The following is a 19,242-nucleotide window of genomic DNA, read 5'->3' as shown; positions in this document are numbered from 1 at the left end:
GTCAGCAAGGTTATAGCCATATGTAGATTCACCAGCTGAAAGAGAAATCCAGACCCTTCTGCTGCCTTGCATCTGGTTTTGTAATTGTATTTCCTTTTCTTTCAGCTCTAGGCCTTGACCTGCCATAACAGTTGCTTTCTCTTTGTGCCCCGAGGGGAACTTGTTTTCTTCTCCCACAGCTAATGCCTGATAGCCTCCTTGTACATTTCCCCTGTTGGTCAGAGTTTTCAGTAACTGAAGCTGTTGTGGCCAACACTGAGCGGCCACAGCACATTGTCACTGTTGCATATAGGCTCCCGTACTTCCTTGTTCTATAAAAAGTCACATGAGGTTGTGGGGCCAGATTGTAAATTTTCTCCAGGCAACCATAAACTCTTAATGTTTTCACACAGAGAAAGGAAAGGGCCTGTCTTAGTGATGAAAATAGGAGTGTACGTTTTTCTTTTCTTTCTTTTCTCTCTGATGCAGAGATGGATCAGAGCAAGGTCTCTACATGGTGAAGCAGTTACTCAAAAAATTGAGGCTGGGACTGGAGAACTGGTCCGCGGTTCCTGTCTTTGTTGTTGGTGGTGTTAGGCATGTGTGTTTCGAGAACTTTGAACATGCAGAAGAGTTTGTACTTTTTGTGGCTTGTCTGGGTTCAAACAAATGTACAGCCTTGTGAAGAGTCATTTTCATTGGCTAAAAACGAACTCTGCTTTATTATTATCAGATAGTGTAAACAGAGATAGAACAAACCTTTGAAAAATGCTTTATAATGTAGTGGAGAGCTAAACCATTAATAATCCATCTTTAAAGATCTGAAAAACATCTGTGGTAAGATCTTGCCAGGAGGAGAGCTTTTCTATGAAACAGCTTTTCCTTTATTTTTCTTCATGGCAGAATTGATATTTAAGGGGGACCTTCTTGTTGAAAACAATTAAAAGAAGAATAATATTTCTTGACATGTGTTTTCATAGTCCTTAAACTCTCTTTTTCTTCAAAAATATTATATAGTTTCTGAAATTGGTGGATCCTCTTCGTTAACTCACTCTGAATTATTCATAGTCACTACGATTGTCCCTCAGTTAGGAGACTTTGGAAATCCCCCTGACATCCTTTCTTGCCAAATTTGTCTGGTTGCCTGCCTACAATATTTTTTTCCTAATCTGACTAGGCATCTCTGACTTACTTTAGCACATGCAGTGTTTCAGAGTCTGATATAGTAGCACGCTACACAATTTGAAAATAAGCTTTCCACTGGGACAGTGGCCTCAAATTGCCTCAAAGAACAATTCAAGTTCTTTAGATATGGAAAGGGAGCTCTGAAGAGCTATCATTTCTTACCTGGTATAAGCAGTTGGGGAACTAATCACTAGGAGTTTTATCCAAACTTCTCTTGGTTTTTCAGGAGTCATTGACAGGGTGGTTTTTAAATCTCAGCCCTCTGAAAAGACAAATTTTGTTCTTCATTCTCTTGAAATTCCAAAGAGGTTATATTACCCTGAATTCCCTTTCAGCTTCTTGTGGTGTCTACTTGCCGTCATCGCAACCTACCACCTTGGTACTAAACATGGGTCCCGGTCCCTCCGAGCTTTGCTGTGTGCTGGTGGCCAAGAAAGTCCTGATGAGACCTAAAAGAATAGAGCTGACAAGGGTGTTTGTAGTCTAATCAGTGACTCCTAAAGACTCCAAGCACAAAATTCAAAGGTTGACTTTTTACCAATGTACTTTCCTTTTATATTTTAGGATGACATCTTCACGAATCATAGGAAGGTAACCTTGACAGGATCTGAACTCAGAGCTGTTTAGAAAGATGAAAAAAATACACACTTTTATTTGCTTTTGGAAATGCTTGTCCCAGATCTGACAAGTGGCCACATGTGACCAGTTATGATGAAATGCAGGAAATAACTTACGATAACCCTGACTTAAGAATGTGAACATCCTCCAGCATGCTTAAGTCCAGCCTACTGGGTTCTTTTTGGAGTCTAAGGTCAGCTACAGCTTTTTGATCCATAGAACTTGATGTCCATTTCTGGGGAAGGATAATATGGTTTAGAAATTCCATTAAATGGCTAGAATGGTTACTGTTCTTTTTCAAGTCCAGGTATAAAGACAGAATTAAATACTTTTCCTTGTCATTATCCATACTTAACTTTCACAGTTTCATATTATTAAAAATAAATTGTGATTTACCTCTACCAACTTCCAAAAAGAAATCAAAGCAGAATGCAAAAGCATTGTCAATGCAGTGCCTCATGTTGATGCCACTGTCCTAAGATCTTCCTTGCAAAGAAAGGATGAATTTTTTTCTCAGCAAATTTCTTCTTCTGGCAACACCTTACACAAGGAATACTGAATACTTTATTTTTTAAAGTGGAATTGTGCCAAACTCTACCAGTTCTATCCAAGTAGAAAAAATAGATTTCCTCATTTTACACTGCCTCATGAACTATATGTATGTATACATGTGTTTCCTAATCTTCATAAATGTGAAGTTTTCTATTTTGCTTTCTCTTTCATATGACAGAACCATGTGATCAATGGAGGTTTCTGTGGCATTTCCTAGTCCTCTGATTCTTTCTAGCTCTTTGCATCTGAAAAGATAGAATGAGTATGAGTGGTTTAATGTCTTGTGCCAGTATCTTTCTGTTTATATTCTGTAGTTGGGCATAGTTCATTGCATTTATTAATTTTTGTTGGCTAATTTCAAACTGGTAATTTTAAGCCTGAAAGGCCTAAATGCCTTGCCTCTGATTGAAAGACACTCTGATGGCTTCAGAAATGCTGAATGAGTTACCCTCAATGTATTGTTAAAAGCAGTTATCTTCAGAGGCCACTTATTCAGGGTCCTTTGAAACACTGGGCTGTGTATTAGTCTATTCTCACACTGCTATTTAGGTTGGTGCAAAAGTAATTGAAAATAATGGCAAAGATTGCAATATAAATAACTACCTGAGACTGGGTCATTTATAAAGAAAAGAGGTTTAATTGAAGCATGGCTGGGGAGGCCTCAGTAAAATTATGGTCATGGTGGAAGGTGAAGAGGAAGGAGGCATGTCTTATATGGCCAAAGTAGCAGGAAGAGAGCGAAGTGGGAGGTGCGACACACTATTAAACAAGCAGATGTTGTGGCTGGGCACGGTGGCTCATGCCTGTAATCCCAGCACTTTGGGAGGCGGAGGTGGGTGGATCACGAGGTCAGGAGTTCAAGACCAGCCTGGCCAACATAGAGAAACCCAGTCTTTACTAAAAATACAAAAAATTAGCCGGGCATGGCGGCAGGCACCTGTAATCCCAGCTACTCAGGAGACTGAGGCAGGAGAATCACCTGAACCCAGGAGGCAGAGGTTGCAGTGAGCCAAGATCACACCATTGCACTCCAGCCCAGGGGAAAATGCGAGACTCCATCTCAAAAACAACAACAACAACAACAACAACAACAACAACAACAAGAAGCAGATCTTGTAAGAACGAACTCACTGTCATGAGAACAGCAAGGGGAAGTCTGTTCCCATGATCCAATCACATCCCACCAGGCCCCTCTTCCAGCACTGGAGAATTCGACATGAGATGTGGGTGAGGACACAGATCCAAACCATATTAGGCTCTTACTGTTAATCTTTCCTCAATGCATTAAAAGACTTGGGTTACAAATCCAAGCTAAGATTTTCACTCAGGAAATTCGTGCATAATCAGACATGCGAACTTTGTTTTTTCTCATTGTACCAGTCTATCAAGGGGCAGCTTAACCCCCTCGGCTTGTATAAGTCCTAGTTTTGGGTATTTACAGTATCTTGTCAGCTTAGCGATATATTCTTTTTTCCTAATATGGTTTCTCCTTTGCCTACAAAATTCCCAACTGCTCTAAGGCAATTGCAATCTGTCTTAGTCTGGTAGAAATGAAAAACCATTGCTTACCTTTAAACACCCAGAAAATTAAAAAACAAAAACAAAAACAAAAATAAAACCCGCTTTCTTCTTTTGTTTAGCTAAGACTCCTTCTCATTTTTTTTAATCTATTCCCCATTAAATCCTATTTCTTAACCCTTTCTTCACCACTCACTTTAAAGATCTCCACATATACCTTAAGGCAGAGATGTAGGCTGAATTTCAAACTCCTAACATCTTACTTACCAAAACTGTGGCAAGATTACACATGTGAGTTGCCTTTTCCTGGCCTTATTGTTCATTGACCCACAGAAGTGGTCTCCTGTGTCTGATACTCCTTTGACCATCACCCATCAACCAGGCAATCACCTTTGGGATTCATCAGTTGCCTAATGTTGCAGAATTTGACTTTAGGTCCAGGATCTTTGCCGTCTCTGGGGAAGTATACTGAAAAAGGCATTTTACATCAGGGGTCTACTAAAATTGTCAGCTTTCTAAACCTAAATTCATCTCTTCAGGTTTGTAATTCAGTTGCTCTAATAAACAGCAACACAAAAACAAAAGCAAGACAAAAAAAGAAACAAGTTCCTTACCTTCTTACAAATACACACCCTTGTGAAATCCGGTCTGGTCTCTGTACAGGCAGCACTATGTTGGTAAGCCATTATCTCTTACCATTCTTTCAAGCCCAATATGATTAATTTTATTCTTAAGAATAGAAAACTACAGCTATATGTATATGTGTATTATATATGTATATGTACATATACATATATGTATATATATACAGCTATATGTATATGTGTATTATATATGTATATTATATATGTGTGTATATTTTTTCCACAACACAATTTTAAAAATTGATTCTTCCCATGACATTGTTATAATTATCATCCTCATTAAATACTTGTGAAATATCTACCATATGAATTGCGATAGGCATTTAGGCACAATGGTGAGTGCAAGGAATTCTATAAATATATATGCACTCAGGGGCCTTGAATTTAAGTTGTTCAGGCAGATGCATTATTCACAAAGAGGTGAATGACTATCCAGATAGGACACTGTGAGTGCCCAAGTATCTGGAGAAGACTGGAGTTCATGCCATGCCTGTGGACATGCTAATGCTCTGAAGGGGTCTTAGCTTCTCTGAAGTGAAGTGATTGAAGGGTAGGGTAGAGTCGTGGTAGAGAACAGAACTGAAGCACAGGGTCTGAGGCAGGTGGGGGGATGGGGAGATGACTGCTTGACAGATTCTGTTTTTTTCAGAGAAGCATAGAGAAGATGAATCACCCTGACATAACACAAGTAGCCTAGGAGGAAGAGTTCTGTCTGTGGCCATGAGTTGTGTAGCCTCAGGCAAGTCATTTAATGTCTTGGAATTTTAGTTGCTATCTTTGTAAAATGAGGGTTGGTTTACTCTTTGAAATGGGGACAAGTTCTGAGGTGGAAGCTTAGCAGGAAAAGTCTAAGCAATTAATTTGTGAGACAGAAACTATACAGATTGCTTTCTGCTCGGTAATAAAACTATCAAAAGATCATCATTCTAAGGTACTGCCAGTTTGTAATCATGATTGGAGGATAGACTTGGTGGGAGGCTGTAACATATGTGTTAAGAAACACAGTGAAATGGAATTAATAAAACAGGTAAGATTAATAATGACAGGTCTTAGGTAGTTGGGGAAATGTCTGAGAGCTTAATCAATGAAGTGATAGAATCTGAAGTTTAAATTTATGATTTAGTTATCTTCTGAATGTTCTCATTATGATACAGTGAGTCTCCCAGACTGTGGCTTTTAGGCTAAGCAATATTATGCGTATTAAGGGACACAAGGGATTTGACTGTGTCAAGTTTCAGTAATGATGATTCTGAGAGCTCCATTAAACATCTCTGCTTTCCTCTGAGCTAGAAGGCAAATTAGGCAGCAGTAAATGAGGCTTGAAGGAAATAGAAATGAGCAGCAATGGTCACAGCGAAAGTGAGATGAGGCCATGCACACACAGGCATACAGGGAATGAGAAGCTATTTGAAAACGTGACTGGGAGGAAATGCTTTGTGAGAGGAGCCTTGGAGGAGAGATATGTGTGAATCATGGCCAAAAATCAGCTCAGTGGGAACCTAAAAAAACATGATGTACAAAACTTAAGGAGCTCAATTCCGCTTCAGCACTGTAGGGTGACTATAGTTAACAATAATTTATTGTATATTTCAAAATACCTGGAGGAGAAGACTTGAAATATTCCCAACACAAAGAAATGATAAGTATTTGAGGTGATGGATATACTAACTACCCTGACTTGATCACTATACATTGTACCCCATACATACGTACCTTTTTAAAAAACTGTACATAAAACTGTACAATATATAATGATATGTATATGTATACAATATATGATAATATGTACATGATAAATATGTATAATGACACATATGTATATACTTACCCCATACATATGTACAGTTTTTTAAAAATAAGGTAAAGGAAAGTCTAACAAGGATTGTGGCCTTGAAAATACTATAATTAAATCATTAATTCTCACCTTTAATTCACCTGGAAGAGTTTACCCTGCTCCCCTATCCCATCCCATTCCATTCCAATACACACATATTTTAGGTAAACTGATTGAAATTTTTTTTCTATTATGGAAGTTGGTTGTCCCAGGCCAAGAAAATAACCTACCCTAAAACTGTATTTAAATGCTTGAAAACTTGAGTCTCAAAAAGGGATGCAAATATGAAGTTATGTCCAAAATTCCCACTCATTAGAGAATGTAAATGAGAACAATATTGAGATAGCATCATTTTGCTGATCAGACTAGGGACAAATAATCATGCATAGATGGTATTGGCACTCCCACCCCCACATCCTTTTGGCCGATCCCAGAGTTTGTCTGCAGACATTTCTCAGACATGACAACAAATTCCTGCACCTTTCCTCCAGTGGGCTATCTTTGGACACAGGAGCATGCTTTGTCCCTGCACAGGTCAGATGGGAAGTAACTGAGCCAGAATGCCTTGGAGTACCTCCAAACTACTAAGGGCTGGTGAATAAATACTTCACATCTTTGCCTTTTGTTGGAACAATCCTAAGTTGTGTTCCATATGGCCTTTCCATGGGTCTCCAGAATAATTGAGCCCAATTGCCCATACAGTAGGGTAACCAACTTATCTCTGCTTTTCTAGAACTGTCCCAATTTTAGCATTGGAAATTCTGTGTCCTGGGACACCCCATTGATTCCATGCAAACTGTGATAGTTGACCACACTACGAATAGAGGTAACTGGCTAGTCAATGTTCTGTCTATTTGTTCCCCACTTCTTGTCTTACTCCTTGCAACCTCATAGTGATTCCTGGAATTAACTTCAAAATAAACTACAGATGCTCCCCCATTTACAATGGGGTTATGTCCTGATAAACCATTGTAAGTTGAAAATATGACTAAGTCAAAAATGCATTTAATATACCTAACCTACCAAACATCATACTTTAGCTTAGCCCACCTTAAACATGCTTGGAACACTTACATTGGCCTATAGTTGGGCAAAATCATCTGGCAACACAATGTACTGTACAGTACTGGTATTTTTACCTTTGTGTGGCTGAGTGAGAGCTGCAGCTTACTGCATGGCCCAGCATCATGTGAGAGAATCACACTGTTTTCTACTGAATGTCTATAGTTTGTGCACCATTGTAAAGTTGAAAAAGTATAAGTGGAATCATTGGAAGTCAGTGACCATCTGTATTGCCTTCACATTTTTGTCTCAGGACCTGCTTTCAGGGGAATTCAAGTGAAGCCAGTTGATGATATCCACACTGTGAGGGTGTAAAGAAATAAGGCGACTCATACATTGTGTGGAAAGCAGAAATTTTCATAGCCCTTTGGAGGGTAATTGAACAGGCTTATGAAGTAAGAAAGTAATATGAACTGTCAGTGTGACTCTAAAGCTCATGACTTGCATTTTAAAAATGCATACACTTTGAATCAGGAATTCTTTGTCTAAGACTTTCTTTAGTAGTAATGCCCAAATGAGCACAAAGATGTAAACATGAAGATGTCCTCTGTGGATTGTCACACAATAAAAAAAATTAAAAATATCTGTCAATGTATGTCAAAATATCACTAGTAGGGGAATGATTTAGCAAATTTGTAGTATAAGCATTCCATAAAACACTATGAAGCTATTAAAAAGCATGAGGTCAATTTGTATTATACTGGTAAGAGAGACGTTTATGATATATTAGTAAGCAAAGATAATCAAATTAAAAATGTGTATCATGCTTTCTATATATCTGCATTTTTTCTGTCTCTTCCTGGAAACACGTGTATACACACACACACACACACACAAACACGCAAACACACAAATTATTAACATAATACCACTGGAGTGGGAGTTGACTTGGAGGTGAAGGTGGAACAGAAGAGGTTATGAAGGAAATTGCCTCTGTTTATTTAACGATGATAATGATGAAGTTTCTTTTTACAATGGGTGCATATTATTTTTAAAATGGAAAAAATAGAAAATGCATTGCATTTGGAAATGAACACCTGAAGTATGCTTCATCATTTTAATTTTTCATAAACTCCATCAATATTGGCAGCAAGAGAACTCGAGATTTGAGCTGTATGTTCTTCTATCTTACATATACCAGTGTAAAAGTGTGTTGTAACCAAATTTAAGCATATAGGTAACCTAAAAGGTAATTCATTAGATAAATTGTCCTATTGGATAATTGGTAGATATCCAATGGCTGTTGACACCATTGTGTTATAATCAATTGCTTGCTCTTTTAAAGATGAGAAAGACCACATAGAACATATATTAGGCCGGTGCAAAAGTAATTGCAGTTTTTGCAATCGAAAGTAATTGTAATACTTCAAACACTCATTATAGTTTTCAAAAGCAAAGAAGAAAAACCATAATTACAAGGGCAAACAGGAAATTAAAATCAACTCTAGATGTATACCTAAACCTCTTCCATTTTTTTTGTTTCTTTATTCAGGAAATTAAATGATGTTGAATGACAAAGATCTGCAATCTCTCAAGTGGTTGAGAGGAAGTATGACATTGACTTAGGAGAAGACTATGGCAAATGATGCTGTAGTCAGGAAGAATGAATAGATTTGAAAAAATACAGAGAAAAACTAACCACAGAAAGAGTCAACTCATTGTTGCCTATGGGTGTTTTTGTCTCCAGTTTGTTTTCCATAGACTTCAATGAGTGTGGATGGGTTTGAGAGATTATGTACTCCCTAGTCACAGTGAATCTAACAATGAAGTAAGAAAGACATGTGGTTGGCGCTGAGAAACATGGTCTCTGCTTGGCCATGTGATTATGAGCAAAGCATCCTCAGCTTAACCTTCTGTAGACTGGGAATAATTATGTTAACTACAAGTTGCTCTGAAGATTAAATGAGAAAATGTACACCAAATCACTTGGTTTAGATAGCACTACTCGTGTTGATTTTTATTATTATTCTATTTCAATTTTTTAAAATTCTTGTGTTGGAGTGAATAATAGTAAGAAAACCAAAAAAACTTAAGTAATACATGATTTTTGTAAAACTGCTCCTCATGACCTTTAACATGATCAATGTGGCTGGTAGATATCCATGGATACTCAGGAGGAACAATTAAGCTGACATTGATAAGAAGCAGCAAATAGTGTCTATTAAACCTGCTTGGTTAATAATATAGGGTTAATTCATTCAACTGGTATTTATTAAGTATGAACTACGGTTCATGCACTGTTTTAGATGCTATGGACAGACAATATTGAGTACAACAGGGATTCCACCCCAACAACTTAGAATCTAGTGCAATTTAAAAGCATTAAAAATAACAATCATAATTCCAAATAGAATACCAACAGCTGGAATCAGTCAGTCCTTTTTCCTACTAAAATCTCTTTAATCATACCTCCAAAACATGGACCCTAACTATAAAAATACAGAGATTTTGTCCAGTTCTAAAGTTCTGTGAGCGATTACCCTCAACTTGGGTTTAGCAGGGAAGGCTTCACAGAAAACTACTTTTGAGTTCATCTTTGAAGAATGGGTAAGATTTCCCTAGGGAGGGAAGAGGAACATGGCTTTTCAGGCTGTGGGAAGTATGCAATTTCTCTGGCAAGTGTCAAGGGTGGAAGGATGAAAGGGGGATTGAAAGTGGAAATTTGTAATCACGTGTTGTCACTAGCCAAATTCTCTGTCTCAATTGTCTTTATCCTCTCTTCACCCAGCACTAAGATGCTAGAAGAGCTGATTCTTCTTACTCTTAGGTGACATCTTACAAGCTAATGTGAATGGAGGACCACTGAAAGATCCTCCTAACCTCCAAATTCTAGGACCGCAAATCTGCTGAAATGCCAAAATTTCCATCATGAGGATTAGGGCTTCAAATTAAGTCATGGAGGGCATTCTTTTAAAGATATTCATAAAATTGGTGGTGGTGGCTTGGTTAGTGACCAAGATGATAACATTTTTCTATGAAATCACTCATCTAAGTTAGAAGGATGTAGGGATTTCCTAAATATGAAAGAGAAAAAGAGGAATGGGCTGGGGCAGTAGTCCTTGCCTTGAAATTCCTGAACTCACTGGGGTTTAAGAAACTTAACATCAATTGGTATAATGATAATAATGCCAATGATTACCATAGCAGCAAAAGCAACAGCAAAAACAATGAAAAATTTGTTTTCATTGGGTGCTTATGTTATGCCTGTGTTTTACATACTTTCTTTATTGTCACCATACCTTATGGGCTTGATTTATTATTCTCACCTTCTAGATAAAGGAACTGAGACTTGAAGAGGTTAAATAACTTATTAAAGATCGCAGAACCAGTTAGTGGCATAACTAGAATATGAACTTCTGTTAGTGTGACTCCAAAGCCCATGACTTGAGAACATCAAGTCACCAAGGGGACAATCAAAACAAACACTGTTTACACCATATCTTTATGTACATTCAGACCTGGGTACATAAGAGGATCATGCCAAATAAGGGATAGGTAGTGGTAGAGCCATGGCTCCAGTCCCCTTCTTTGGTCACCCTTGGTTATGGATAAGTTATGGATACTAGGAAGCACTTTGAATCAATCCCAGTGTGTTTTCACTCTGAGGTTTCTGTGGTAGATTGTGATTGTAGTGGTCTTCTCCTGCTTGTGTGTACCCTCTTTATGACAACTACTAACAGCTTGCCTTTCTTTGTCTGAGTATTGCTATGTTTAAACAACAGTATAGGGAAAGCAATATGGTACTAATTAGGGCATTCCAGGAATGGGTAAATTCCAGTCTATACTGGGCTACTTCAGTCAGGTAAAAGCAGGTTATGTGATTACCACCATGGACTATTATTCTAACCAGTGGTCATTTTGCCCTCATGGACAATGTCTGGAGGCATTTTTGATCATCACAAGGAGGATGGGGATGCTTTTGTCATACAGTTTGTAGCGGCTAAAGATGCTGCTAAACATCTGAAAATGCACAGAACAGCCCCCAAAGCAATTATCTGGCCTAGAATGTCAGTGGTGCCAAGGTTGAGAAACCCTCTACTAATAAGACACGTTGGAAATTAATGTCATTTTTACAAAAATTTCTATATGGCAATTAGAGGAAAATGAGCATATTTTTATTCCTCCTTCCAAAGTTATTGTTATTCTTTCACAACAGTCATGCTATTGTATGTGAAATGGGGTTTACTCACATTGAAGATATTGTTACGGTTTTTTTTTTTTTTTTTTTTTTTTGGAACTTGCTTGGGCTGCATGTGTTTCCTGGAAGCAGAGGTATAAGATTGTGTATCTTCCTTATCCTGGGTTTAAGAACATCAAGAATATACTTAAAAGCCAGCTTTTCCCCACTACATAGCATCAAGGCAAAAGAAATACAGTTTCTTCAGGACTAATTTGACACTGACTCTTTTGCATCTTATTCAACTCTTCACAGGCATAAATAATGATTGGCAAGAGCAGGACGAACAGCTGCAAGCAGTGTTGCAGTCATGTGTCCAACATGTGAGAGCAGTTTTACAATAACATCAGGAGTCCTTGGAAAGATGCCTTTTTCTTTCATAAAATAATAATAGCAGAGTCAGATGATACCACTGTCCAGGTAAACTCCTTGTCTCCCGTTTTCTAGAGAGCCCTGCTCTTAAAAAACGTGGAAAGAACTCTTGGTACTTCGTTCTCGTCATCTTTCCAGATGAAAATCTGTAACTCCCATTCCCTATTATAATTAGCCAAATAACGTAGTGTTATTATGTAAATAGTGCCTTATGTAAATGTTGCAATTCTAAGTTGTCATGTCTGGTGGAAATATAGAATTGTTTCTTTATTATCTATATATCTTCATCTGTAATCTATATATACAGTACTTTAAGAAAATGAAATCCAATCTTTCTTTTGTCTAAATAACTCACATTCTTTGGCTTTTCCCTGAAGGCTTTATTTCCAACCCTTTAATCATATATCAATCATATTCCTGCAATGCTTGTCATAAGTGCACATTTCTGCGCCTTATTCCTCAGGCTCCTAAATCGGAATCTCAAGAAAGTGGGGTCCTGGGAATCTGTAGTTTTTACAAGACTCCTAGGTGATTTTTATACGCTGCAGGTTTTGACAACCACCAGCATAGTGAGTTGGCCTTCTCTCAGATTATTTTAATGAGCTTTTCCAGCTGCTTTGGAGAGTAGCTTTGCTTTCCACGTTATCTGGTTGTCTTACCCAAACAGCTATCTGTTCTCCTTGGTCTTCAGTTATTCACAGACAAAATGAAAATGGTAATCTTACCAACACATAATGAGAATGTCTGGAAAATTGAATTCATACTGCTGTTAATGAAAGAGCACATAAATGTTTGAAATATGCGTTTTTTTTTTAAAAAAAAGAAATGGCTGAAGGAAAACACATCTGTCTCCATTTGGAACTGATATACTTCAATCAGTCTTTGCCTCATAAGAGTATTTGTCTTATTATAATAGCAAATATACACTAGTAATACAAATGTATGCTTTATTATGTTTTAGGAGACACATATGTGCTTTATTTTAATTCTTACCGTGGCAACTCTTAAAAGATACACATTTGTAAAGTGTTTGCTTCAAGTCAATCCTCTTTTAGGCATGATGTCCTTACAGCAATTTCCATCATCATTAGGCCTAGAAGTATAAAGTACAGTTGCTTGGTGTGTGTGGAAGAAATAGGATAGATTCATAAACCATCAAATTGTCCTTCAGCTCTCTGCATAAGACGAACTGAAGAGAGTGCCTCAGGATAGAGAGACAGTTGGGACAATTTCACCATGTTTTTATAATGCTACACAGTCTTGATTTAGAGGGACCCGGACTTTGACATTTTCTAATTCTACATTCTAAGCATCGGCAATTCAAGTTTCAGTAATGGCTCTGGAATTTGTATCTAAACTTGGTATAAGATTTCAAGATCATGTTGTATTGAGATTAAGGGCTGAACAGATGAAACATTCTGTTAAAAAAAGGACCCAAGGACAGGAAAGATGTTTCTGCTCCTCAATGTTTTGCTCTTACTTGAAGTACCTTTTTGGTTGCTTTTACTTTTTCAAAGTAAATTTTCAAATTATCAAGCTATCTTTGTCTTGATAATTTGAAGATCCAATTAATTATTGTACATTGAACATAATGTGCACATTGTGAGCACACATAAAGGAATGTTAAGGAGAATAGTATGTTGTCTAGGTACGGATATGTATAGAAGGAAACCATACAACGATGACCCCCAGGATCCCTTGGGTCTAGAAGCCATCACTGCTCCTGGAACTTTGCCCCTAGCCTGGCTGAACAGGGTAATGCCCTGAGGACACCCACTGTCCAATCCCTACTGAATGATGTTGAAATTGAGGATTCAGTCATGGAATCTGCCTTCCTTGGATATCAAATGAAGTCTGAAATGGGAACTAATTTACTGAGAGCCTAACTCATGGAGAATACAGAGGCACAATCCTTCTAGGTATTAGTTCAGGGGGGATAAGGATATATGGAGAGACCCTGAAGGACCACTCGGGGCCGTCTGGTGTGGATGAGCTAAATAGTACATATTAGTCAATATTTGAATGCATTTAGCAAGGATACCAGTAAGAATGACAACAAAATATTAAAAATGCCACACTGACTGCATCCTGATGGCCACTGGCACCACACTCAACATTGCCGAGGACACTGTACACTAATGATGATGAAGGTAACTGAACTTTAAACATGTGATAACTTTTTTCAAGCCTCACGGTAATCTCTGTTAGTTTTCTACTAACTTCCCCCTTTAAAACACGAAGAAATTGAGGCTTAGCTATGTTAACTCTTCTAAGATCACACAACCAGTAGGGTTGGGCCTGATTCTGACCCAGGCTGTCCAATTTCAGTTTGTGCTCCTACTGCAATGCTTGATGTTGTCTTAGGGAGACCATCTGCAGAAACTTACAAGCAGATAAATGGGAGTGAGCTGGTCTAATTGTGTTTGTGGGATTAAGAAATAGTTGACTACCATTATTTAGGAACTGGCACCTGGGAGTTCAGGACCTTAAAATCCTCCCCAAAACTTCTAGAATCTTTCATTTGCAGCTAGAGAAGGTAAGTTGCATTGTCAAACACTCCCTATTCCTTCACTATTCCAGAGCTAAACACATAGGTAATGTTTACTCATTTGATTCTCAGATGGCTAGAATGACCCCAATAACTTTCTGTTATTCTATTATTAGGCATTTTGCCATGTCCTGCCTGATCTGTTGCATATTTCTGTGTTGGGTCTCTCTGGGTACTGTCTACTGGGGTAAGAAATGTGATGGGAATAAACCTGTCTTATATCAGAGATGTCCTGATCCCTATGCAGAAGAGTGCTCATCTGTGATAATGCCATGGCTGGCTTCCTCAGTGGAAGCTCTAATACACTTCAGACTCAGGCTGGCATTTATCTATTTCCTCACATTCTACCTACTTGTCATTTGTTCTAGGCAGAAGCTTGACTTTCCTTGATTATATATTTCCTGCCTAGCCACAAGGAAATTACTGCTTGTATTTCCTATTCAATCCCTGAAACTTAGATTTAGTCTTTTAAAACAATGCTTACATTTCCTGTTTGTTTATTTGCCTTCCAAATCAGCCCCGTATAATTATATATTTAGCCTTTGCCTGACAGTGAGGGCTGTGGGACATCTGCCCCAGCTAAACATGGATGTTTTTATTTTCATTTCCTAATCTACCCATCGCTTTGAGAACAAACTCTGTCTAGACTTTCTTCCCTAAGTTCTAAACTGGGTTTGGAATATATAAAAACATTATCTATCTTTGAATTCCTGATGTTTCAAACCCTACGTGGGAGATGCTTAATAAATATTTATGAAAAAAAGAATGAGCTTAAAATGGATTAGAAGATTAGATTCTTCAGGTAAAGAACTTCATAATCAACTACCCATGGGGACTTTCATATTATCCACTGTTTTGCTATGTCTTGGAGGTCTACTATGGTACTGCATTCCATGTATTGTTTTGTGATGTTGATTTGCACAGGCTTGTACTGTGCAGTGGAGTCTGAGTGTAATGTTTGGCAAATAGGAGGGATCTTTAATTTGCTTTCAATGATTCAAACATATTTCCATAACAACTGTTTTGTTTGCTTCCTTGTTTTGTTTTATTTTTAGTAATTTAGGTTTGCTTAATCACAGACTGGTCTGTTATATCTTGCATATTTGAATTTTTATACAGCTTCTCTTTTACTGTATGTTATTTGGTCATTTGGCTGTACAAGTGGAAGAACCAACTTTATAATTACTTACATATATCTAAATCCCACAGATTTTACTTTTCTGACACTTTTAAACAATATTCTGGGAAAAAAAGTCAGCCAAAATAGTTTACTACATGGGTTAATAAATCTCAATCCAAATATGCAATTATAGGTATAGCCTAAGGTATTTAAAATTACTATCCTAGGGTTGAAAAATTGCTGCAGCAATTCCTTGATGGACTTATCTGTGCTTGATTAGGATCTTCTATATGACCGTATAAAGGACTTTAGTGTTCTTGCAGGTTATAGGCAGGGTTTGTCTAATGTTTATTCATGTGCAGATCATTAATTATGAATTACAACGATGATGGGCATGTTTTGGCAGGGGCTACTGAGTGCAAGAGAGGCACCCTGGGTCATTCCCAGACATGATCTCAATTATCTTCTACTTCTCTATGCTAACCTTGTATAGGGTGAAAACTTTGGAACTTTTTACAACAGTTTCCATGCTGAATGAAGTGGAAAGAATGTTGGCCTGGGAATCTAAAAGCCTGGATTTCAGGTTCTACTCTACACTAACAAGTGGTGGGACTTTTAATCTCTTTGCCTCAGTCCTTCCTTACCTGTTAAAGTAATATAAAGTTTCAACTACATGACCTCTCACAATGCTTTTAGCACAGACGTGCTGTGAAGTAAATGTGTTTTATTCATATCCCTGAGTTTGGGACAATATTTTCTTCTTGAGTAATGGAAAATTGAGCTGGCCTGGGAATCTAAAAGCCTGGATTTCAGGTTCTACTCTACACTAACAAGCGATGTGACTTTTAGAAAATCTCTCGGCCTCAGGCCTTCCTCACCTGTTAAAGTAATATAAAGTTTCAACTAAATGACCTCTCACAATGTTTTTGGCACAGACATGCTGTGAGGTAAATGTGTTTTATTCATATCCTTGAGTTTGGAACAATATTATCTTCTTGAGCAGTGGAAAATTGAGCTAGTCTTTATGTAGCCAAAGAGAACCTGGGGCTGCCTGTTGCCTTTAATCCAATCAGGAAGCAGTTGGACACAAACTCCTGGGAGCATAAAAGATAAAGTAGCTAATAATGATGTGACAACCATAGTGTATGACCAATTACTAAGTGCCAGGTGATATGCGGTGTTCAGATATTATCTTATTTATTCTTACCACAACACTGTGAAGCAGATTTTTACATGTGAGGAAATTGAGGTCTAGAGAGCTTAATAACTTGCCAAAGATCATGAGCCTGATAATTGCCTGAACCAGAATTCAAATTCAGGTTCGGCCTGAGTCTAACAGCCGACTTTGATCTCTTAAGCTCCACTGCCTCTATCTGCAAAACTCTCTTCTTCAATTAAAAAATATTTATTGTGGATGTACAATGTATCAGGCATTGCTCTGGAGTAGATGCTTGGGATAGATCAGAGAACAAATAAAAAGCCTTTCCTCATGGAGCTTCTATTTTAGCCAGGAGAGAGTACAGTATCAGTAGACATAATAAATAAATAAGTTATATGGAAGTTTAGCATGTTGTGAGTAATATGGAAAAAGAAAAGCAAAGCTAGGTGAAGGGAGTTGGGAATGTGGTGAATGCAGTGAGGTGGATTATAATTTTCAGTTGAGTGTTCAGGTGGGCATCATTGGGATGGTAAATCTTGATAAAAATCTTGAAGGAGGAAAGGGAATTAATTATATGGCTACCTGGTAGAAGAGCATTTGGGGCAGAGAGAACAGCAGGGCCCTAAGTGGGGGAGAGTGCCTGGTTTTAGCAAGTCAGTTATGTATGACAAAGAAAACGTCACAATGAAGAGGACATTGAGATCCAAATTTAGACCCTGACATTCCTTCTCATGGTGTGTTTATTTGTTTTAGAAGCAGGTTGACTCTTCTTTCTTCTTGTCATTTCTTTCTTCTCGTCAGTACATTCCATCCTGCTTACCCAAAAGCCTACTCAAAAAGTTTCTTGTTTCCCGCAAGAGGCTTTATTTTACTTTGATCTAATTTAGTAGTTCTCAAGCTTTCTGATCCGTGGACACTTTTATGCTCTTAGCCAAGGATAGAAGTCACTGCCATAGGGAGCGGGTCAACATGTAGCCCAGACTCTGGAAAGAAAGAATTCTCTCATCCAACCCTCCCCAGTATTGTCCTTACATAGCTAGAAGTGAGGGGCTCAATCAATATTCTATGCCTTAAGACAGTGCCGCTTCATCTTTAGTGTGCCTCCAAATCACCTGGAGATCTTGTTAAAATGCAAATTCCAGTTTGGTAGGTCCAGCATGGGGCCTGGGATTCTGCATGTTTTATGAACCCACAGACCACACTTTAGTTAGTGAGGATCCAGGGGTGAAATTCAGCACCCCAAAGTTGGTTTGACCCTACACTTCTAGCTAGTGCTCTACTATCCAGCACAACCAAGCTTGCTAAATTATGCATCATCAGAAGATGAGGGACATTGAATAAAAAAAAAATGGACAATGCCACCCTCAGAGCAATCCAGTGGGCCTTATCAACCATATTCTATGATGCTCAGTGTCTTCGTCTACCTCCTGCCTAAAACCTCCAGTAGCTTCCTGATTACCTGAAAACATAATTCAGACTCCTTGCCCTGGCTCACAAGACCCTCAGCAGCCTGGCCTCTGTGTATTTCTTTGACCTTCACTATAGTAATTTCCCCTTACTCACCACAATGCAGCTACTGTGACATCATTTGAGTTCTAGAAGCTGCTTGAATTCTCAGTGTATTTGGCTATGGCTGTCAAATAGGCATTCTAATCACTTGCTTAGTGTATAGCAAAGATACTTTAAAAGAACTTCAAAAACAATTTTGCAAAGAATTTATTTAACAAATGCAATAAAGTTGTGAGAAAAAGGAAAGATTTTTAGATTTTTAGAAACACCTATTCAATCAGAAATTTTTTATTACAGACCTACTGAGTGCCAGGTGTCCTGTTAGACATTTGAGAAATGTAAATGAACAAAAAGATTGCGAGGATTCCAGCATGGGAGAAAGACAGTAAACAATAAACAGAATAAGTAAATTAGGTGGTACTTTAAAAATATAATAAGTACTATGAAAAAACCAATCAGGCAGAGAGAAGAAGGTTGAGAAAGAGGAACCCAGATGGGAGGGAGCAGATAACATCTGGGCAAAGACCAGGGGAGACAAGAGTGGGGAAGTTATGCATTCAGATGATGTTGGGGAAAGACACTTAGTGCGAAGGGCCTAAGGCTGTCAGCTGGACTGGAGCAAAGTAGGTGATGTGTTCATGAAGATAATAGAGTGTGTGTGTGCGTGTGTGCGCACACGCATGTGTGTGAGAGAGAGATCATGTAGGGCCAACGATTTTAGATTTATGTATATATATATTTTTTCAAAAGTTAATTATGAAGGAGGAAGGACCATAAAATATTTAAAGTTCAAATTTCTCTAGTTCCTACTTTCTTAGGGGATTAGTTTTAGGGAGAACTTTTTTTTTTTTTTTTTTTTTTTGAGATGGAGTCTAGCCCTGTTGCCCAGGCTGGAGTGCAATGGCGCCATCTCACTGCAAACTCTGCCTCACAGGTTCAAATGATTCTCCTGCCTCAGCCTCCTG

At 38.1% G+C, this 19,242-nt stretch overlaps 1 long non-coding RNA gene across 1 annotated transcript, besides 2 other annotated features; it reads right to left on the bottom strand.

The window, feature by feature from the left end:
* Positions 561–620: an enhancer, noted in NCBI's record as "active region_22499". NCBI's record gives its function as "activates an Ori minimal core promoter by ATAC-STARR-seq in GM12878 lymphoblastoid cells {active_cell/tissue: GM12878}" and the evidence as "EXISTENCE:reporter gene assay evidence [ECO:0000049][PMID:35858748]".
* Positions 933–2,132: an enhancer, noted in NCBI's record as "MED14-independent group 3 enhancer chr5:40405285-40406484 (GRCh37/hg19 assembly coordinates)". NCBI's record gives its function as "activates an origin of replication core promoter dependent on BRD2, BRD4, P300/CBP and CDK7 cofactors, and independent of MED14, by STARR-seq in HCT116 cells {active_cell/tissue: HCT116}" and the evidence as "EXISTENCE:reporter gene assay evidence [ECO:0000049][PMID:35650434]".
* On the bottom strand, positions 17,477–18,300 carry LOC124900967 (uncharacterized). Its single transcript, XR_007058744.1, has 2 exons — positions 18,228–18,300; positions 17,477–17,751 (listed from the first exon to the last, which is right to left on the bottom strand). It is a non-coding gene; the product is annotated as an uncharacterized LOC124900967 (long non-coding RNA).
* Positions 18,301–19,242: the final 942 nt, after the last annotated feature.

The sequence above is a fragment of the Homo sapiens genome, chromosome 5 (assembly GCF_000001405.40).
Source record: "Homo sapiens chromosome 5, GRCh38.p14 Primary Assembly".
NCBI classification, from domain to species: Eukaryota; Metazoa; Chordata; class Mammalia; order Primates; family Hominidae; genus Homo; species Homo sapiens.
Note: the sequence above shows the minus strand (reverse complement) of the source record. Positions and strands in the feature narration are given on the sequence as shown.